Source organism: Homo sapiens, chromosome 7 (genome assembly GCF_000001405.40).
Source record: "Homo sapiens chromosome 7, GRCh38.p14 Primary Assembly".
Classification (NCBI taxonomy): domain Eukaryota; kingdom Metazoa; phylum Chordata; class Mammalia; order Primates; family Hominidae; genus Homo; species Homo sapiens.
Window position 1 is genome coordinate 123,059,468 of NC_000007.14, and position 17,651 is coordinate 123,077,118.

Sequence of the window (17,651 nt, forward strand, 5' to 3'; positions counted from 1 at the left end):
AAATTTCAAGGGTCCTCCTCTATTAATATTAAAAAAAATTAAGCCTTCCCAGGTGACTCTAATTTATGCCTGCGGTTGACACAACTGAGTTAGATTGATTTAAAAGGGACGATAAATAGACACTGTTTTGGCAAAAGCCCATTCCAAACAGCCATCTGATATCTTACTTAATCTAATCTGAGATAAGTTCATTTAAACAGAAAGTTGAAACTAATATAATTTCAAATAATCTTTGGAATATGTGTAAAACAAAGGCAACATATCAGGAATACATTTTTCCTCCAAATGGGCTAATGATAGACTACAGAATTTGAGACAGTGTTTCATATTTTGACATTTCAGTAATGGCTATTAATCATAGCCTTCTATTTTACTATCGAAAAATGCCATTTAAATACCATTTGTTAATTATAACATCTTTGGAAGTCTATTCATATGTAGTCTAAGAGTGAAAAAAGTTCATAAGCCTATCCTGAATTACACATCAAATTGAAAAACCTTTGCTAAAAGTAATATAGAACAGAAAAGACATTGTGCAAGGCACTAAAAGTATGTGCTCTGAAGAGGAAAGTTGGTGAGCTACTTTCTATCTGTTTTGACTTTTTTTCTTTACAAAGTCTTCATATAATAAAAAGGATAATTTATTTAAAAAATTTCAGGAAAGTTACATTAATTCCTTTTGACTAACATAGAAACTTTAAATGAAAGTCTTATAACTGTCTCCTTTAAGATACCTAGAATTTCTCAAATAATAAAATTTCAAAACTGTTGGAATTGATTAAAAAAATCACTTACTAGCTTTTTTTAAAAGAGAAATATGTACTTACATTTTTTTAAAAATCACTTTGTGAAACATTAGGATTATCCTGGGTATAGTTCGTTTAGTTTTTGATCAATTTTTTGGGACTGTTCTGTGTGAAATTCAAGTGGCTTCCAACATAAAAAAATAACTAGAGACTGAGAGCACCCCAGATTTTCTCATGTGAACAGTAGTTAGCCTTACAATCTTCAAGATTGAAAGGAAGAGATGTGCTCAGGTGAACTTGGTAATGAGGCTGTATCTTACAGACAAATGGGAAAGGGGGAATCTCAGGACACATCACAGCCACCTGAGTAACTGTCCTGCTGCCAGCACCTCCCACTGATCATCATCTGTCATATAGAAATGGGGCACAGATTGGTTAAATAACCTGCCAATAAGTGTGGAGTCAGGAGTTTCATGGCCTGCCCTCATAACCACTGAAATTCACTGCTTCTCTGAGAAATATAATCAGATAACAGACAGGATACAGGGAGCCTAGAAAGCCCAAGTCAGAAATTGAACTTTGTAATTCACTTAGGAGCAAGGGATGCCAAACTATGAAACTTTAGAATTTAATTTTGTGTCTTTGGACTTATTTATTTACCCTATCTAATGATACCCTATCTTATTTATTTTCCCTGAAATTATTCACTGCAAAGAAGAAAAAGAAAAGAAAGTGGTTACATTACAAATACGCTGTTATAAAGCACAGTTGAGTGAGAAGAAAATATTCCCAATTAGGACCAGAGTGGCCTGGAGGCAGAAGTGAATGGGTTCCTCCACATATCCTAAGACATCAGTGAGAAGAGCCTTTGCAGTCAACTCTGGATGGCAGAGTCTAAATCCAAACTTCTGTTTGTACATTCAAGTTTAGGAATTCCAATGAGGTTGTTTTTGTTGTTTTGTTTTTGAGAAAATTGGCCCAATTTTTGACCAGCTGTGTCCAAGAGTAGAAATTTAAGGAGAAAGAGAAACATCTAAACAGATCTCTGGGGTGTGTAAGTGTGTTTTTCTGATGCATTATCATTTTGAATCCCCAGATGACCCAGTTTTATTACGGCCATATTAAAATTTAAGATCTACAATTTTTTAAATAATAAAATTATGTCTTTTGCAGCAACATAGATGGAGCTGAAGGCTATTTTCCTAAGTTAAATAACTCAGAAACAGAAAATAAAATACTGTGTATCCTTACTTACAAGTGGGAGCAAGACGATAGGTACATATAACCAAGCAGAGGGGACTAACAGACACTGGGGACCCCAAAAGGCGGGAGGATGAGAGAAGGGGGAGGGCTTCAAAATTACCTACTGGGTACGATTTTCGTTATTCAGGTGATGGTTACGCTAAAAGCCCAGAATTCGCCACTACACAATATAAACTGCACATGTATCCTCTGAATATGAAAATAATAATAATATATGAATAGAATAAAAGGTCTATGATTTGAGTTGCCTACCTGCAACTTTGATTGAGTTGGTATCCTCTGACATCACATTTTCCAGGATGCTTGATTTATGGTTTTAAAAGAATGGAAGGCAACCACTTTAGAATAAGAAGATTATAAACTAGTCTGAAATAGGAATTACAACTACTATGAGAATGCAACCTGGAAACTGATGTGCTAAAGAATGGAAGAGAAAATTAAGCTTCCAGTAATCAATATAACTTTTGTCACACTTTCTAAAAGTTAAAAACTCAATTTTAAAATATCCTTAATGGTTTACTCCTTGAATATTCATCAAAACCTCTTCATAGACCTTCAATGTCAATCTCGTCTTTGTTCTTCTGATTATCTAACTCCCTTTCTTTTAAAATGCATACTCTTGAATCTCTTTTGAAATGTAGTAGCCTTATGAGGTCTGTTCTCTTTTGGTTAAAGGCTCACCTTCCACTGTGGATTCTAAAAGCAATTCCTATGTGTATATGTGAGAGAACCTAAGGTTGAACTGCACGCTCATATGTCAAGAAATATTTGGCAGTCCCCAGTCTCTGGCAGGTGCTCTCACTGTTTTCCAGAACACACACAAAAGCCATACTTCACATTTCCTAGTCTATTATATTTTTATTATTTTTCCCCACATAGCATAATTAGATTTAGGAAATGTTATGTGAGATATCCAGAATGAAATAGTATAAGAAACTCTATTTCAAACTTGTAGGCTAGAAATAAGTTTTTTTCTTGCCTCCTTAGAACCATTGCATTTAAGAATTAGAATCCTTCCTGGAAAGGGAGCCAAGATCTCTAAAACTCATAAATAGATGGGACCTTTTTAATAGCTGAGACTAGGTCTCATGGAGACGGGGCTACCAAGATCAAGTAGGTTTGGGTACCACTGCTATAAGTTGTTTGCCCCCGGAAATTTCACAGGTATCATCACATCAGATGAGGGAAGAAGACTTTGCTTAACGGTGGGAAAAAGCAATGAATTACATTAGGTCTTATAGATCTTGGGGGCTAAGCAGAGAGTTAACAGGATAGTTAGCAGTGTTCAGCATTAGGAAATATTTATGTCCACCCTGAGTTGTGTAAAAGAATGATCATCAATCATAGAAAGAGCATAAAACAAGGGGTGTGGTTGCTGGGTTAACACACTGAAATCATATGTAGATATAGAGGAAAAGGTAGACACATGCCCTACGTATGTGCTTAGGAGACATGGACAGGGTTCCAATTAGACAGATGGTATGAAGTGCAGTTTATTTTTTGATTTTTATTTTAGTTTCAGGTGTACATGTGCAGGTTTCCTATACAGGTAAATTGTATGTCATAAGGGTTTGGTGCACAGATTATTTAGTCACCCATGTAATAACCATAGTACCCAATAGGTAATTTTTCAATCTCAATCTCCTCTTATTCCCTAACCTCCACCCTCAAGTAGACCCTGGTGTCTATTGTTCCCTTCTTTGTATCCATGTGTACTCAATGTTTAGTTTTCATTTATAAATGAGAACATGTAGTATTCAGGTATTTGGTTTTCTGTTCCTGGGCTAGTTGACCTAGTATAATGGCCTCCAGCTCCATCCACATTGCTTGCTGCAAAGGACATGATCTCATTCTTTTTTATGGCTGCATAGAATTCTATGATATATATGTACCACATTTTCTTTATCCAGTCTATCTTTGATGGGCATTGATATGGTTTGCTTCTGCTTTCCCACCCAAATCTCATATCAAATTGTAATCCTCGGTGTTGCAAGTGAGGCCTGATAAGAGCTGGTTGGACCATGAGGTCAGACGAGATTAACACTGAAGGTCTATGAAGAGGTTTTGGTGGATATTCTGGTTTTCTTTTCTTTTTTTTTTTTTTCCTGTAGCCCTGCAGTATAGTGTGAAGTCAAATAATGTGACACCTCCAGCTTTGTTCTTTTCACTTAGTATTGCTTTGGCTATTTAGGCTTTGTTTTGGTTTCATATGTATTTTGGAATAGTTTTTTTTTTCTAATTCTGTGAAGACTGCCATTAGTAGTTTCATAGGAATAGCACTGGATCTGTACATTGCTTTGGGAAGTGTGGCTATTTGAATAATATTGATTCTTCCTATCAATGGGCATGCAAAGTTTTTCCATTCGTTTGTGTCATCTCTGATTTATTTCAGAAGTGTTTTGTTATTCTTGTTATAGAGATCTTTCACTTCCCTGCTTAGCATATTCCAAGGTATTTGTTTCTTTTGGTGGCTATTGTGAATGGAATTGCATTCGTGATTTGGCTCTCACCTTGGATGTTGTTGGTGTATGGAAAAGCTACTGATAATTTAAAATTGATTTTGTATCCCAAAACTTTGTTGAAGTTGTTTATTAGATCTAGGAGGTTTTGGGCAGAGACTATCAGGTTTTCTAGGTATAAAATTATATCAGGCCAGGCGTGGTGGCTCACGCCTATAATCCCAACACTTTGGGAGGCCAAGGCTGGTGGATCACTTGAGGTCAGGAGTTCAAAACCAGCCTGGCCAAAATGGCGAAACCCTGTCTCCACTAAAAATACAAAAATTAGCAGGGTGTGGTGGTGGGCACCTGTAATCTCAGCTACTTGGGAGGCTGAGAGCAGGAGAATTGCTCGAACCTGGGAGGCAGAGGTTGCTATGAGCTGAGATCATGTCACTGCACTCCAGCCTGGGCTACAGAGTGAGGCTCCGTCTCAAAAAAAAAAAAAGTTATATCATCTACAAACAGATATTTTGACTTCCTCTCTTCCTATTTGGATGCCTTTTATTTCTTTCTCTTGCCTGATTGCTCTGGCTAGGACTTCCAGTACTGTGTTGAATAGGAGAGGTGAGAGGGGACATCCTTGTCTTGTGCAAGTTTTCAAGGGGAATGCTTCCAGCTTTTGCCCATTCAGTATGATGTTGGCTGTGGGTTTGTCATAGGCAACTCTTATTATTTTGTTGTATGTTCCTTCAATGCCTAGTTTGTTAAGGGTTTTTAACATGAAGTGATGTTTAACATGAAGTGTACCTTATCAAAAGCCTATTCTATCTACTGAGATAATCATATGGTTTTTGTTTTTAATGCTGTTTATGTAATAGATCACATTTATTGGTTTGCATCTGTTGTACCAATTTTGCATCCCAGAGATACAATCTACTTGATCTTGGCAGATTAGCTTTTTGATGTGCTGCAGGTTCTGTGCTCAGTTTGCTATTTTTTTGTTGAGGATTTTTGCATCTGTATTATCAAGGATATTGGCCTGAAATTTTCTTTTTTTGTTATGTGTCAGCTAGGTTTTAGTATTAGGATGATGCTGCCCTCATAGAATGAGCTGGGGATGAGTCCCTCATCCTCAATATTTTGGAATGGTTTCAGTAGGAATGTTATCAGCTTTTCTTTATACATCTGGTAGAATTTGGTTGTGAATCTATATAGTCCTGAACTTTTTCTTGTTGGTAGGCTTTTTATTACCAATTCAATTTTAGAACTAATTATTGGTCTGTTCAGAGTTCCCATTTATTCTTGGTTCAGTCTTGAGAGGGTGTTATGTGTCCAGGAACTTATCCATTTCTTCCAAGTTTTCCAGCTTGTGTGCATAGAGGTGTTTGTAATAGTCTCTGAGGGATTTTTTTTTTCAAATTTTTATATTACTGTGGGGATTGTGGTAATGTCACCTTTGTCAATTCTAATGGTGTTTATTTGGATCTTTTCTCTTTTTTCCTTTATTCTAGCTAGCAGTCTTTCAATTTTCTTCTTTCAAAAAACTCATTGCTGGATTCACTGACCTTTTGTATGGTTTTTCACATATGAATATCACTCAGTTCAGCTCTCATTCTGGTTATTTCTTGCCTTCTGCTAGGTTTGGGGTTGGTTTGCTCTTGTTTTACTAGTTTCTTAAAGAATGATGTTAGGTTTTTACTTTGAGGTCTTTGTATCTTTTTGATGTGGGTGTTTAATTCTCTAACCTTTCATTTAGCACTGTGTTAGCTGTGTCCCAGATATTCTGGTATATTGTATCTTTGTTCTCATTAGTTTCAAACTTTTTTAAATTTCTTCCTTAATGTAATTATTTACCCAGAAGTCATTCAGGAGCAGATTGTTTAATTTCCAAAACGTATGGCTTTAAATTATCTTCTTAATATTTATTTCCATTTTTATTGTGCTATGGTTTAAGAGTGTAATTGGTATGTTTTCTTTTCTTTTGAATTTGCTGAGAACCGTTTTATGACCAATAGTAAGGTTGATTTTAGAGTATGTGCCATATGCAGATGAGAAGAATGTATATTCTGTTGTTTTGGGGTAGAGAGTTCTGCAGATGTCTGTTATGTCCATTTGGTCAAGGGTCAACTTCAGGTCCTGAATATCTTTGTTAGTTTTCTGCCTCAGTGATCTGTCTGTGACTGTCAGTGGTGTGTTGAAGTCTCCCATTGTTATTAAGTGGTTATCTAAGTCTCTTTGTAGGTTTCTAAAAACTGTTTCATGAATCTGAGTGCTCCTGTGTTGGGTACATATATATTTATGATAGTTATTTCTGTTGAATTGAAATTTTTACCATTATGTAATGCCCTTCTTCATCCTTTTATTGACTGTTGTTGCTTTAAAGTCTGTTTTATCTGAAGTTAGAATCACAGCTTCTGCTTGTTTCCTGTTTTCCATTTGCTTGGTAGATTTTTCTCCTTCCATTTACTTTGAGCCTACAGGTGTTATTACATGTGAGATGGCTCTCTTAAAGACAGTATACCATTGGGTCTTGCTTCTTTATCCAATGTGCTACCTTGTGGCTTTTAACTGTGGCATTTTGACTGTTTATCTTCCAGGTTAATATTGATATGTGTGGATTTGACCTGGTCATTGTCTTGTTAGCTGGTTATTAGGAAGACTTAATTGTGTAGTTGCTTGATGGTCTGTGTACTTACATGTGTTTTTGTGATGGCTGGTAACAGTCTTTAATTTCCATATTTAGCACTCCCTTAAGGATTTCTTGTAAGGCAGGTTTGTGGTAATGAATTCCCTTAGCATTTACTTGTTTGAAAAAGATCTTTTTTCTCCTTCACTTATGAAGTGTAGTTTGGCTGGATAAGAAAGTCTTAGTTGGAATTTCTTTTAAGAATGCTGTATATAGTCCCCTCTGGATTGTAGGGTTTCTGCTGAAAGGTCCACTGTTATCCTGATGGGATTCTCTTTGTAGGTGACCTGCCTCTTTTCTCTAGCTGCTGTTAATATTTTTTATTTCATGTCAACCTTGGATAACCTGATGACTATTTGTCTTGGGGATGGTTGTCTTCTATGGTGTCTCACAGGGGTTCTCTGAATTTCCTAGATTTGAATGTTGACCTCTCTAGCAAGCTTAGGAAAATTTGCATGGTTTATATCCTCAAGTGTGTTTTCCAAGTTGCTTGCTTTCTTTCCCTCTCTTTCAGGGATGCCACTGAGTTGTAGAATTGGTCTCTTTACATAATCTCATATTTCTTAGAGGTTTTGTTATTCTTTTTTATTTTTGTCTGACTGAATAAATTTAAAGAACTGTTTTTGGAGCTCTGAGATTCTGTCTTCATTTTAGTCTATTCTGCTGTTAATATTTACAATCATATTATGACATTCTTGTAGTGTGTTTTTTGGCTTTATCAGATCAGTTTGGTTCCTTCTTAACATGACCATTTCATCCTTTCAGCTCCTGTAACATTTTATTGTATTCCTTTGATTTCTTGGATTGGGTTTCAACTTTCTGCTGAATCTCAATGATCTTCATTCCTGTCCATATTCTGAATTTTATGTCTGTCATTTCAACCAGGTTAAGAACCACTGCTAGGGAAAATTTGGTGCTTTGGAAGTAACAAGACACTCTGGCTTTGGGAGTTGCCAGAGTTAATGCACTGGTTCTTTGTCATCTGTGTGGACTGATGTTCCTTTAATCTTTGAAGTTGCTGGAATTTGGGTGAGGTTTATTTGCTTTTATCTTCTTTGATGCCTTGGGGGTTTGATTGTGGTATAAGGTGGGTTCAGTCAATTGGCTTTGATTATAGAAGATTTCAGGGGGCCAAGGCTCAGCTCAGTACTCCTGGGCTGCGTGTTCTAACTTTAGGGGTCTGGTACTGAGAGCCCCACTTTGTTCTCTGGCCTCCCAAGGTTAGGAACTTGCTTCCCTGAAAGGGCTAAGATGCTCCTGCTCCACTGACCCCAAAATTCTGATGGGGGTGCATACCAAAGCACTTAGGGTTGTGGCAGTAGAATCCATGCTTGCTCACACATGCCAGCAGCTGTGGTAGTACAGCATGGTACACATGCATTGGCTGGGTAGGGCACCTGCGGGACTGGGGGCGCCAGTGGTGGTGGGGTGGTAATGGGTCTGCTGGTGTATGTACAGGCATTCACATTGGAGGTTGCAGCAGTACAGTGGGGGTAGGGCACTAGTGGGGGTGCTGGATTTCTGTGTACACCCTTGTGCCAGAGGTGGCAGGGGAAGCATGGCAGAGATGGATGTTTCAGCGTGTGCACACACTTGTACTGGAAGTGGTGGTGGCCCCATTTGGGGTGAGTGAGGCTATAAGGTGTGCTTGCATGCCCAACACCAGTGTGGCAGCAGGGTGTTGCACACATGCACAGCATTGGGGGAGGGGAGTGAGGTCCACTGACATGTTTGCACTGGTGAAGTGGTTGGTGGGGAGCTATGGGCAAGTGCCTGTCTGCAAAGTGGTGGGAGTATGCTGCAGTGGGTGGAGGCTGCAAGTGGCCTCGCTGCATGAGCTTGGGCTGGTCTGTAGGAGCTCTCCCATGGTTATGCACAGTTTGCCAGTGAACGAGTTACCATGAGGGAAGCACCCTAGTTGGGTATCCCAGGTTGCAAGGCAAGTAGGCATAGCCAGGCTGGGGCCCCAGGAGAGGCCACTAGTGGGGGTGCTCAGATTGGACTGACCTCGTCCAACAGGCAAGACTGCCCTGTTCTGTCAAGCTCTAACATTAACCCTCAGGCTAAAGTCTCTCCTAGAGGAGCATGGCAAGCCTTGAGGTGAAGGTGTCCCTAGCGATACTCCACTGCAGCTGTTCTCATGCCAAAACCTTTGGGCTCCATACATGCTGGAGTCTTGCCCCTGCCACTTTTCTAAATGGCCCTCTCTTCTAGCTCAAGTGTTCATGGGTGTCTTGGGTTCTCCTGCAGGTAGGGTTCCAGAGGTGAGTGGCAAGAGCAGGCCACTCCTCACCTTTTCAACTCACCCCTTTCCCAGGAGTCACTGGGAGCCAGGAGCAGGTCCTTGATGTTCAGCAGCCCTGCACAGGGTTCCCAGCTTTCTCTCTCTTCAGTCCAGTGTCTGCATCCTCCCTCCATCCACTTTCAATGCCTTCTCTCCAAAGGTCTGCTCAGTGTGCCAGTCTTCCTGATGTCCTGGTCCCTTGGTGGGAGATGTTCCTCCTGGCTGCATCCAGTTGGCCATCTTGGCTCCCTCCAGCTTTTCAAAATTAAAGAAAAAACTCATAGTAGCAGGATGGTCTGGGTGGCCTTTTTCTCTGCAAAGGCTGTTTGGGTGAGGTTGGTGCTGTGAAGGTGTTAGGATCAGTTCTGATGCTTTGCCAATCTGGAGGTGCTGGGGCTGATGGTCATGGGCTGGAGTATGCTCAGATGACAGGTGGTACAGTTGGAGAGTCCCCTTATCACTCTTGGAAATTTTTTTAATTTTTTCTTCCAAATCCTGTAGTAATATTGATGTTCCAGAGAGATGTCCCACAGATATTCTGCTCTCATGCACCCTCCCTGCACAGAGTTGAAACTGTACTCCAGTTTCAGAAGTGTGTAGCAGTGTAGTACATACTTCAAGTTAATCTGAAAAAAAAAAAAAGAGAGCTTCCCATGAGGGATCCCAAGAAGCCTGAAGTGCAGTTTAGTGAAACAGAAACACCTGTATTATTCAATGCAGCTCTGAAAGATGACTAACGGTTTCTTCCAAACTTAGATTTTCCCCCAAACCCTTGAATTATTGCTATCAGTGAAGTTACTCATGAAGTGTAAAAATAAAACAGTGCCATGGACTAAATTGTGACCAGAACTTTAGGTTATACTTGGAGGCCCAGAGGTGAGGCAGGCACAAGCCAGGCACCTGAAGCCAGAAAATTCTGGGTGAGCAGGGAAAGGTAGATACTTACCCTGAGTTCAGCACCGTCCAGCTATCTAGGCTTCTGGTTACCATGCACCCCCAAATTTGCTATCCCAGTAGTAGAGTGTTTCCCAAATAAGATTGTTGATAGCACTTTAGCAAAAGTCCTCTCACACTTTGCAGAGATCAGCAGGTTTGAGATACTCAGAAATAAATCCAGAAGTACCTTTTTGTTTGAGCTTCAGTGAGGAAGGACACCTCATGTCAGAGCGCAACATAAGGATTAAAAAATGTAAACACCCCTTCATTCTCCTTTGGAAGGAGACAAGACCTGTGAAACAGAAGGGAGAGATAATTCAATTCTGATGTTGCTGTGTTGATTTTTTTGGATAGTTACCAGTTTTACAGTTTCGAGGTAGGCTCATTTTCATGCTAGTTCTAAACTCATACATGTACATCCTTCCTGACACTCAAATATAAACTATATGTACATATACTTATTTGTGTTGTACATATACACTGCAATAAATGTATACTTCACTATATATAATGTTATCTAACATATATATCTGAAATATGAGTAATTTTCAAGGTAAGGAAAAGATTTATTTATTCATTAATTTTTTTCAAGGAATATTTGCTACACACTCACAGTGATTCAGATACTGTTTTGGATGCTAGGAACATAAAACAGACAAGGTCCCTCCTCATGGCATCTATATTATATTCAAGTTCAGGGAGACACAAAATAAACAAACAAATAATTTAACAAATTAATTCCAGGTAACAGTAATTGCTATGAAAAATTAAACAGGGGGATATATCTGAGAATGTTTAGAAGTGAGCTTTGGCATGTTAGACAATATCTTGCAGACAATGTTGTTGAAATCTGAATGCTAAGACTTTAACCATGCAAGTGACTGAAGGAAATATATGTGAAAAACATTTGAAGCAGAAGTGAGGTTCAACTTTTTAAAGAACTAAGAGAAATGCTGGAGAGTAGAAAATGAATGAGAGAATCGAGGAGTTGAAGTTGAAGAGGTAGAGGAAACCAAATCACTCAAAGCTTATAGACCATTAATAGGTGGATTCTATTCTCGCAGCCACTAGAGGACACCCGAGAGTTTTAAGCAGGAAAGTGTTGTGGTCTCTTTTGTGTTTTAATGTGTAAGTCCTTCTAGTTGTTGCAAAGAAATGTTCCATAGGGTAGAAAGAGTGGCAACAGGAAAATAGCGTTTGGAGTTTCAGACCCACCAAATTAGAGGGGCCTGGGAAACACTTTGGGCATCCTGCATACATGCCAAACAACATTTAAAAGCAGTGCTACTCAGGTTCGAGGCAATTGGCCTATAACTAATCTGTCTGCTATAAAAAATGTGGTACTATTCACAGGAAGATAACAGAATCCAGAGTCTTTATAAGGAATCATCCCTAAAGCCCAAGTACAGTAAAAACTTACTAGACATGCAAAGAAACAGGAACCCATGACTCAAAGTCAAGAAAAAAAGCCATCAACACCCCTGGTCCAGGCCCTGACAAAACCCAGCCCACATGTTAAACTTGTAGACAGACATTTTAAAGACACACTACAAAAATACTTTTAAATTTATGGAAAATATGTTCAAATAACTAAGGAAAATTTTTCTTTTATTAAGGGAACAATTAAGAAATCTCAACAAGGAAATGGAAAATATTTTTAAAATGTAAATTCTAGAACTGAAAATTACAGTAACTGAGATAAACCATTTACTACGTAGGCTTAACAGAAGATTTGAGATGGTGGAAAATTGAGTCAGTGATCTTGAAGATATATCAGATATATTCTAGTCAGAAGAATACAGAGAGGCTGGACGCAGAGGCTGGCGCCTGTAATCCCAGCACTTTGGGAGGCTTAGGTGGGCAGATCACGAGGTCAGGAGATCAAGACCATTCTGGCTAACACAGTGAAACCCCGTCTCTACTAAAAATACACACACACACACACACACACACACACACACACACAAAGTAGCCAGGCATGGTGGCGGGCACCTGTAGTCCCAGCTAATCGGGAGGCTGAGGCGGGAGAATGGCGTGAACCTGGAAGTTGGAGCTTGCAGTGAGCCAAGATCATGCCACTGCACTCCAGCCTGGGTGACAGAGCGAGACTCCGTCAAAAAATAATAATACTAATACAGAGAAAAAGGTTGGAGAAAAAAATGAACTTTCCTTCAGAAATATGTGTGACAATATCAAATAGTGTAACATACATATTACTTGAGTCCCAGGATAAGAAAAAAATGAGAATGGATAGAAGAAACTGTTTGAAAACAATGACTAAATATTTCTCAAACTTAATGGAAAACTAAATCTCCAAGAAACCCTGTGACCTCAAGCAGGATATTCTCTCAGCTACAAATTTAGCAATGTATTTAACATTTATTAAGTGCTTACTCTGTGCAAAGAGCTATGCTGGGCATGGAGAAATATATATCTGAATATGGCACAATATCTACCATATTTAACAATCTAGATCTGTACTATCAAATATGGCAACCACATCTGAATATTGGGCACTTGAAATGTGGCTAATACAACACGATGAAATGATAACATTTTGGATTAAATAAAATATATTATTGAAATTAATTTTACCTCTTTTTGTTTCTTTAAACTATACAGTAGAAAATTTAATATTACACATGTAGCTTGCACTACATTTCTGTTAGACAGCACTGATTAGGAGATAATAATCTAGTTTGTAACATAGCATCCACATATAAAAATAAAATGATGATCAAGTAGCTAGCTCTCAAATCAGATAAATTGGAGCTAGATACTTTTTATTAGCATTTAAAATTTTGCTAGTACTTACCACTTTAGTTTTTTTTGTTTTGTTTTGTTTCTTTTGAACTTGTTTTAGTTTGTGTTTCTGGAGAGGAACAAGAAACATAGTGGGTATTGAAAATGTTTATCTCTGATAACAACAGATTATTTTGATCTCATTATAAGATGCTTGGGGTTTTAAAGTTATCAGTTTGCATAATTTGACTATCTCATGATCCACAATAGTGAAGGGGGCATGAGTTTATCTGTTTATTTATATGTTTCTTTTAAACATATAAGGAGGAACATTTAAAATCTTTTAAAAACTCAAGTGTTGTCTACAATGGAATCCACCTAACATACCACTTGCAATAGAGTAGAAATTTTTTATTTTTATTTTTTACTCTTTGAACACATATATTTGGTAGACATTAAACAAAGAAAAAAAATTCAGCGGTTGCCATTAAAAACTGTCCAATAAAACATTTTTATTGAGTTAGGTTTATTTGTACGTTTAATGTGAATTATTAAAGAATGAGAATTGAAGTGATTTATTCCTTTTCTTGAGCTCTAACACAGCAGTTGGCACTATCTATGTGATTCTTCCTTTCAAGGATCTAACAGTCCTGTGTATGGTAATTTCCTTGCAGATTACGTCCACCCAGTGCCCCTGGATGTTCAGTTCAAGTTTTGTCTTTGGTTTTATAGATTTCAACTTTTAAAAAGCAAATAGCATGAAGTTCTCTCTTTATGAGCGTTCTCTTTTATCACTCTCAAATTCCACTTTTCTTCTTCAGATGTAGCTGTGGGTTTGCAAGTTAGGGTGCCCAAAAAGCAAAGGGGTTTGAGATGGCTCAGAGAAATTGGGTCTTAAAATCTGTTAGAAATGATGAAGCCAAAAGGTTCATGCTGACAATTTGCATAATGACTAAGATTTTCTAGAGTTAGTAGTTTGACAAACTGTAAAATATTCAAGAAATCACCATTGCAGGTCTTGCTGTCTCTGTCAAGATGACAAAATCATACTTTTACTAGGATAAACTGTGTATGAATAATTTTGCTAGGTATATTTTATTCAAACAGATTTTCTGTTTCCATCATCAAAGGATTCCTTGACCTGGACAATGTCTATTTCCAGCAACACACATACTTATAAATGACATTGCACATCTGCTGCTGTACTACTTAGGAGTCTATAAGATGTTCCAGCAAGGTGTACAAAGACAGAAAAAAATCTATAACAAAAGCATGTAAATACAATGAGAATCTGAGTTGCTGTAGGAATCATAGATACATGATTTCTCTCTCTATATATTCATATATATATAGATATATATATACACAAACACGTATAATTTACTCTCACAAAACAATGAAAGATGCCTTTGTTGTGACCTTTAAAATTCTATTCTAGAAAACAAAAATAGAAAAGTAAACCACAAAACTTCCATGTAAACTTGGATGGGAGAAGCAAAGGCACTTTTTTTTATATTCTCGGCTTATTAGTGAAATAACCAAGGACATTTAAATGGTAGTTAAACCTGTAACCGTGTTAGAAAGTAGGAAGAGGTATCATCCATGAGTCAGAAACATCAAAGAAAGCCTGGTGGATGGAACTGCTAAATCTGCTTGGTTATGCTGAGAAACAGCAGCATCAATGGGAACAAAATCAAGGGGACCCTCCAGAAAGTCACCCACACTTCCTGAGGATTGAACACCATTTAGACCTTGATTAGCCACCATTCAACACTAATGTAGCCTGTATTCAACATAAATATTCAACGAAAGGTCCAAGTTTAGTTACATCAAGCAGGAAGTTTCAGTGTTAGCAATACCAAGTGGAAAGTTAGCATGAGATAAGGGCTGGATAAATAACTGAAAGGAAGAAAAAGCTTATTTACCCTAACGAAATAAGAGTGAGGAAAACATTACACTCATGTACAAAATACATATTTTGAAGGAGGAAAAAATTACTATATAGAAGAAGCTGAAAGAAACTTTAGAAAACACTCGTTTTGTGTTCTCAAAATAAAATAAAACCAAACCTTCATAAACTTTAAAAAACAGTAGATAAAAGAAGGGATGATAAGACAACACATTGAGAAGAAAACATGAGAGGGTGAGAGGAAAGCAAAAACAGAAACCCTGCACCCTGCAAGTGCAAAGCAAAACAGCCTCAAACATATACCTTGCAGTGGTGAACCTGAATTATTTTCTTTTGGTTAGATGACCATCAGCATAATTACTATAGAAATATTAAGACCTGAGTTAAGAGTAAATGTGGATGGTCAGTGTTTTTAAAAAGATGCAACATGTGTCCACTAACTCCACTGAGTAGCCAAACATACGCTAAAGGAACAGAATTTCTTCTGAAGAAAACACATGGGAATACTAAGAAACCATGTCTTGTTAAAAAAAAGAAAAAAAAAAGCTGTTCCATGGGTGGTTGGCATTGAGCAATTTGTATTAAAAAAAACTGCAATGAGGGCAATATTCTAGCCCAGAGTTTGGGTAATTTTTGGTGATGGTAGAAGCAAAAAATGTTATGAGAAAAAATTTGTGCAGGTATGAGTGATTAATTCCAACTGAGGTTTAGTGGATGGTGTTAGGAAATGAAGATCATATTACCGCAAAGTGAGCTTCCTTCTAATTTATCTTTGCTTGTATGGCAATAAGTAGAATCAGAAACATACAGATAAATTTATACCTGGATCGTTCTTTAAACAACAGTCCTTTTATTTACTGGGACAAGCGTTAACAATTGCAGGGATGAGAGTTTATTTCCATTCAGAAGCAATTCATCCAGTTTCCATTAACCAGCTTAGAGTGTGGTTCAGACTGCAGTTAATTTTATTTATGCGAGGCTTCTGGCTTCTAGGTGTTGTTTTAAGAGCAAAATGTTAAATAAGCTTCTCAACTTCCCCTGGTCATCCCCAAATTTAAGTGCCAGGGGTGGAAGTAAAGGAGGGTTTGAGATAGGAATGAAAACTAAAGTCTCAAATTCTTGATGATAAAATATATTCTGTGATGTACGGGAGGCAGGGAAAAACTAGCAACTCCATTATTGCATTTCATAAAATAAAATCTATGGATTTCTCTTCTATGTTTGAGGGTAAAGCAAGTGCTCAGAAATGAATTAGTCTTTCTTCATCACCTGAACCATATGGTGACTTGTTTTCATTTGGAAGTAAGATTTATACTTTAATCACAACAGTCAGGCTCTGGAAAACTATACTGATATCATGCAGTTCTCAATGCAAGCTTGGGCAGAGTTCTGCCTTAGAGGGGAAACTTCTCCCAGTGAGGCCATTCTGTTGCCAAACCTTCTTGTATGAAGTTAAATTCATTTCTTACAACATTTTGTTTTGTAGCAAATCATACTGCAGAGAGGCTCTGGTTCAGCAGAAACTGAAAAACACTCATTACCAAGACATTCCTCTCAGCTTGCCTAACTTGAGACAAGTTTCTTTCTGACTCTAGGCTCTTGACTTCCCTTTTCTTAGAACATTTACTTTAGAAGACGTGTAAATTCTCTTTCTGCTCCTTCCAGATGTAAATCTTTTAAAAAGTCTCCTGCCAGTTTTACAAGCCGAGAGTGTCTTTCTCCAGGACCCGAAGCTATCCTTTTAAAATGTAATCAAGAAAGATAAAGCTTCTATCAACCCAGGCTCTAAGGAAAGGGTAGGAGTGTAACTTCAATGGGTGCCTGTTAGCAAACACAGGTGGTCTTATTACAGAGAGAAACACTTGCACTCTCAGGAATAACTCAATGTGCCCCACACACTGCATCAATCAACCTCTTCCCTAATGTCCTCCAGTAGTTTTCTGTTAGCTCACAGCAGTACTTAAAAACATTTCGACCTTTTGTTTCAATGAATTTGAGTTAAAACTCAGCCCTGGCATCTCTTACCTGTTGCAATAGCCTTGAATAAAGTCTTCCTTGTCTGTTTAACTTTGGTGGAATTTTTGCTTTGACACTTATGGACTGCATGTTTGTGCCCGCCCCACCCCACTCCCAAATTCATATGTTGAAACTTTAACCTCCAATGGGACAGTATTAGAAGGTAGAATCTTTGGGAGGTAATTAGGTTTAGATGCAGTCATGATGGTGGAGTCTCCATGACCAAATTGTTGTTCTTATGTGAAGGGAAAGAGACTAGAAAACACTCTCTGCCCCACCCCCCCAACCCCAGTGCATACAAGGAAGACCATGTGATAACAGGGAAGACGGCCCTCACAAGAACCTGACTTAGGCACCCAAATGTGAATGTCTGTGTATTCACAGACAGTCACATGTATGTCTGAAAATGTCTGAAAGCCTCTTACGGAACATTATAAATCCTACAGTTCTATAGTGCCTCATAGGATTAGGTGACTAGAAGGACATTTGGTGGAGGAGAAAGGTAGGTTGGGGTGAGAGAAAAATTTATTTGGAGGTAGTGGCCAGACTTTGTCACTTCATATATTCCATCTTAATGAAACTAGCAGAATAAAACCATGAATTACATTTTATTATTTGTGTAGTTTTA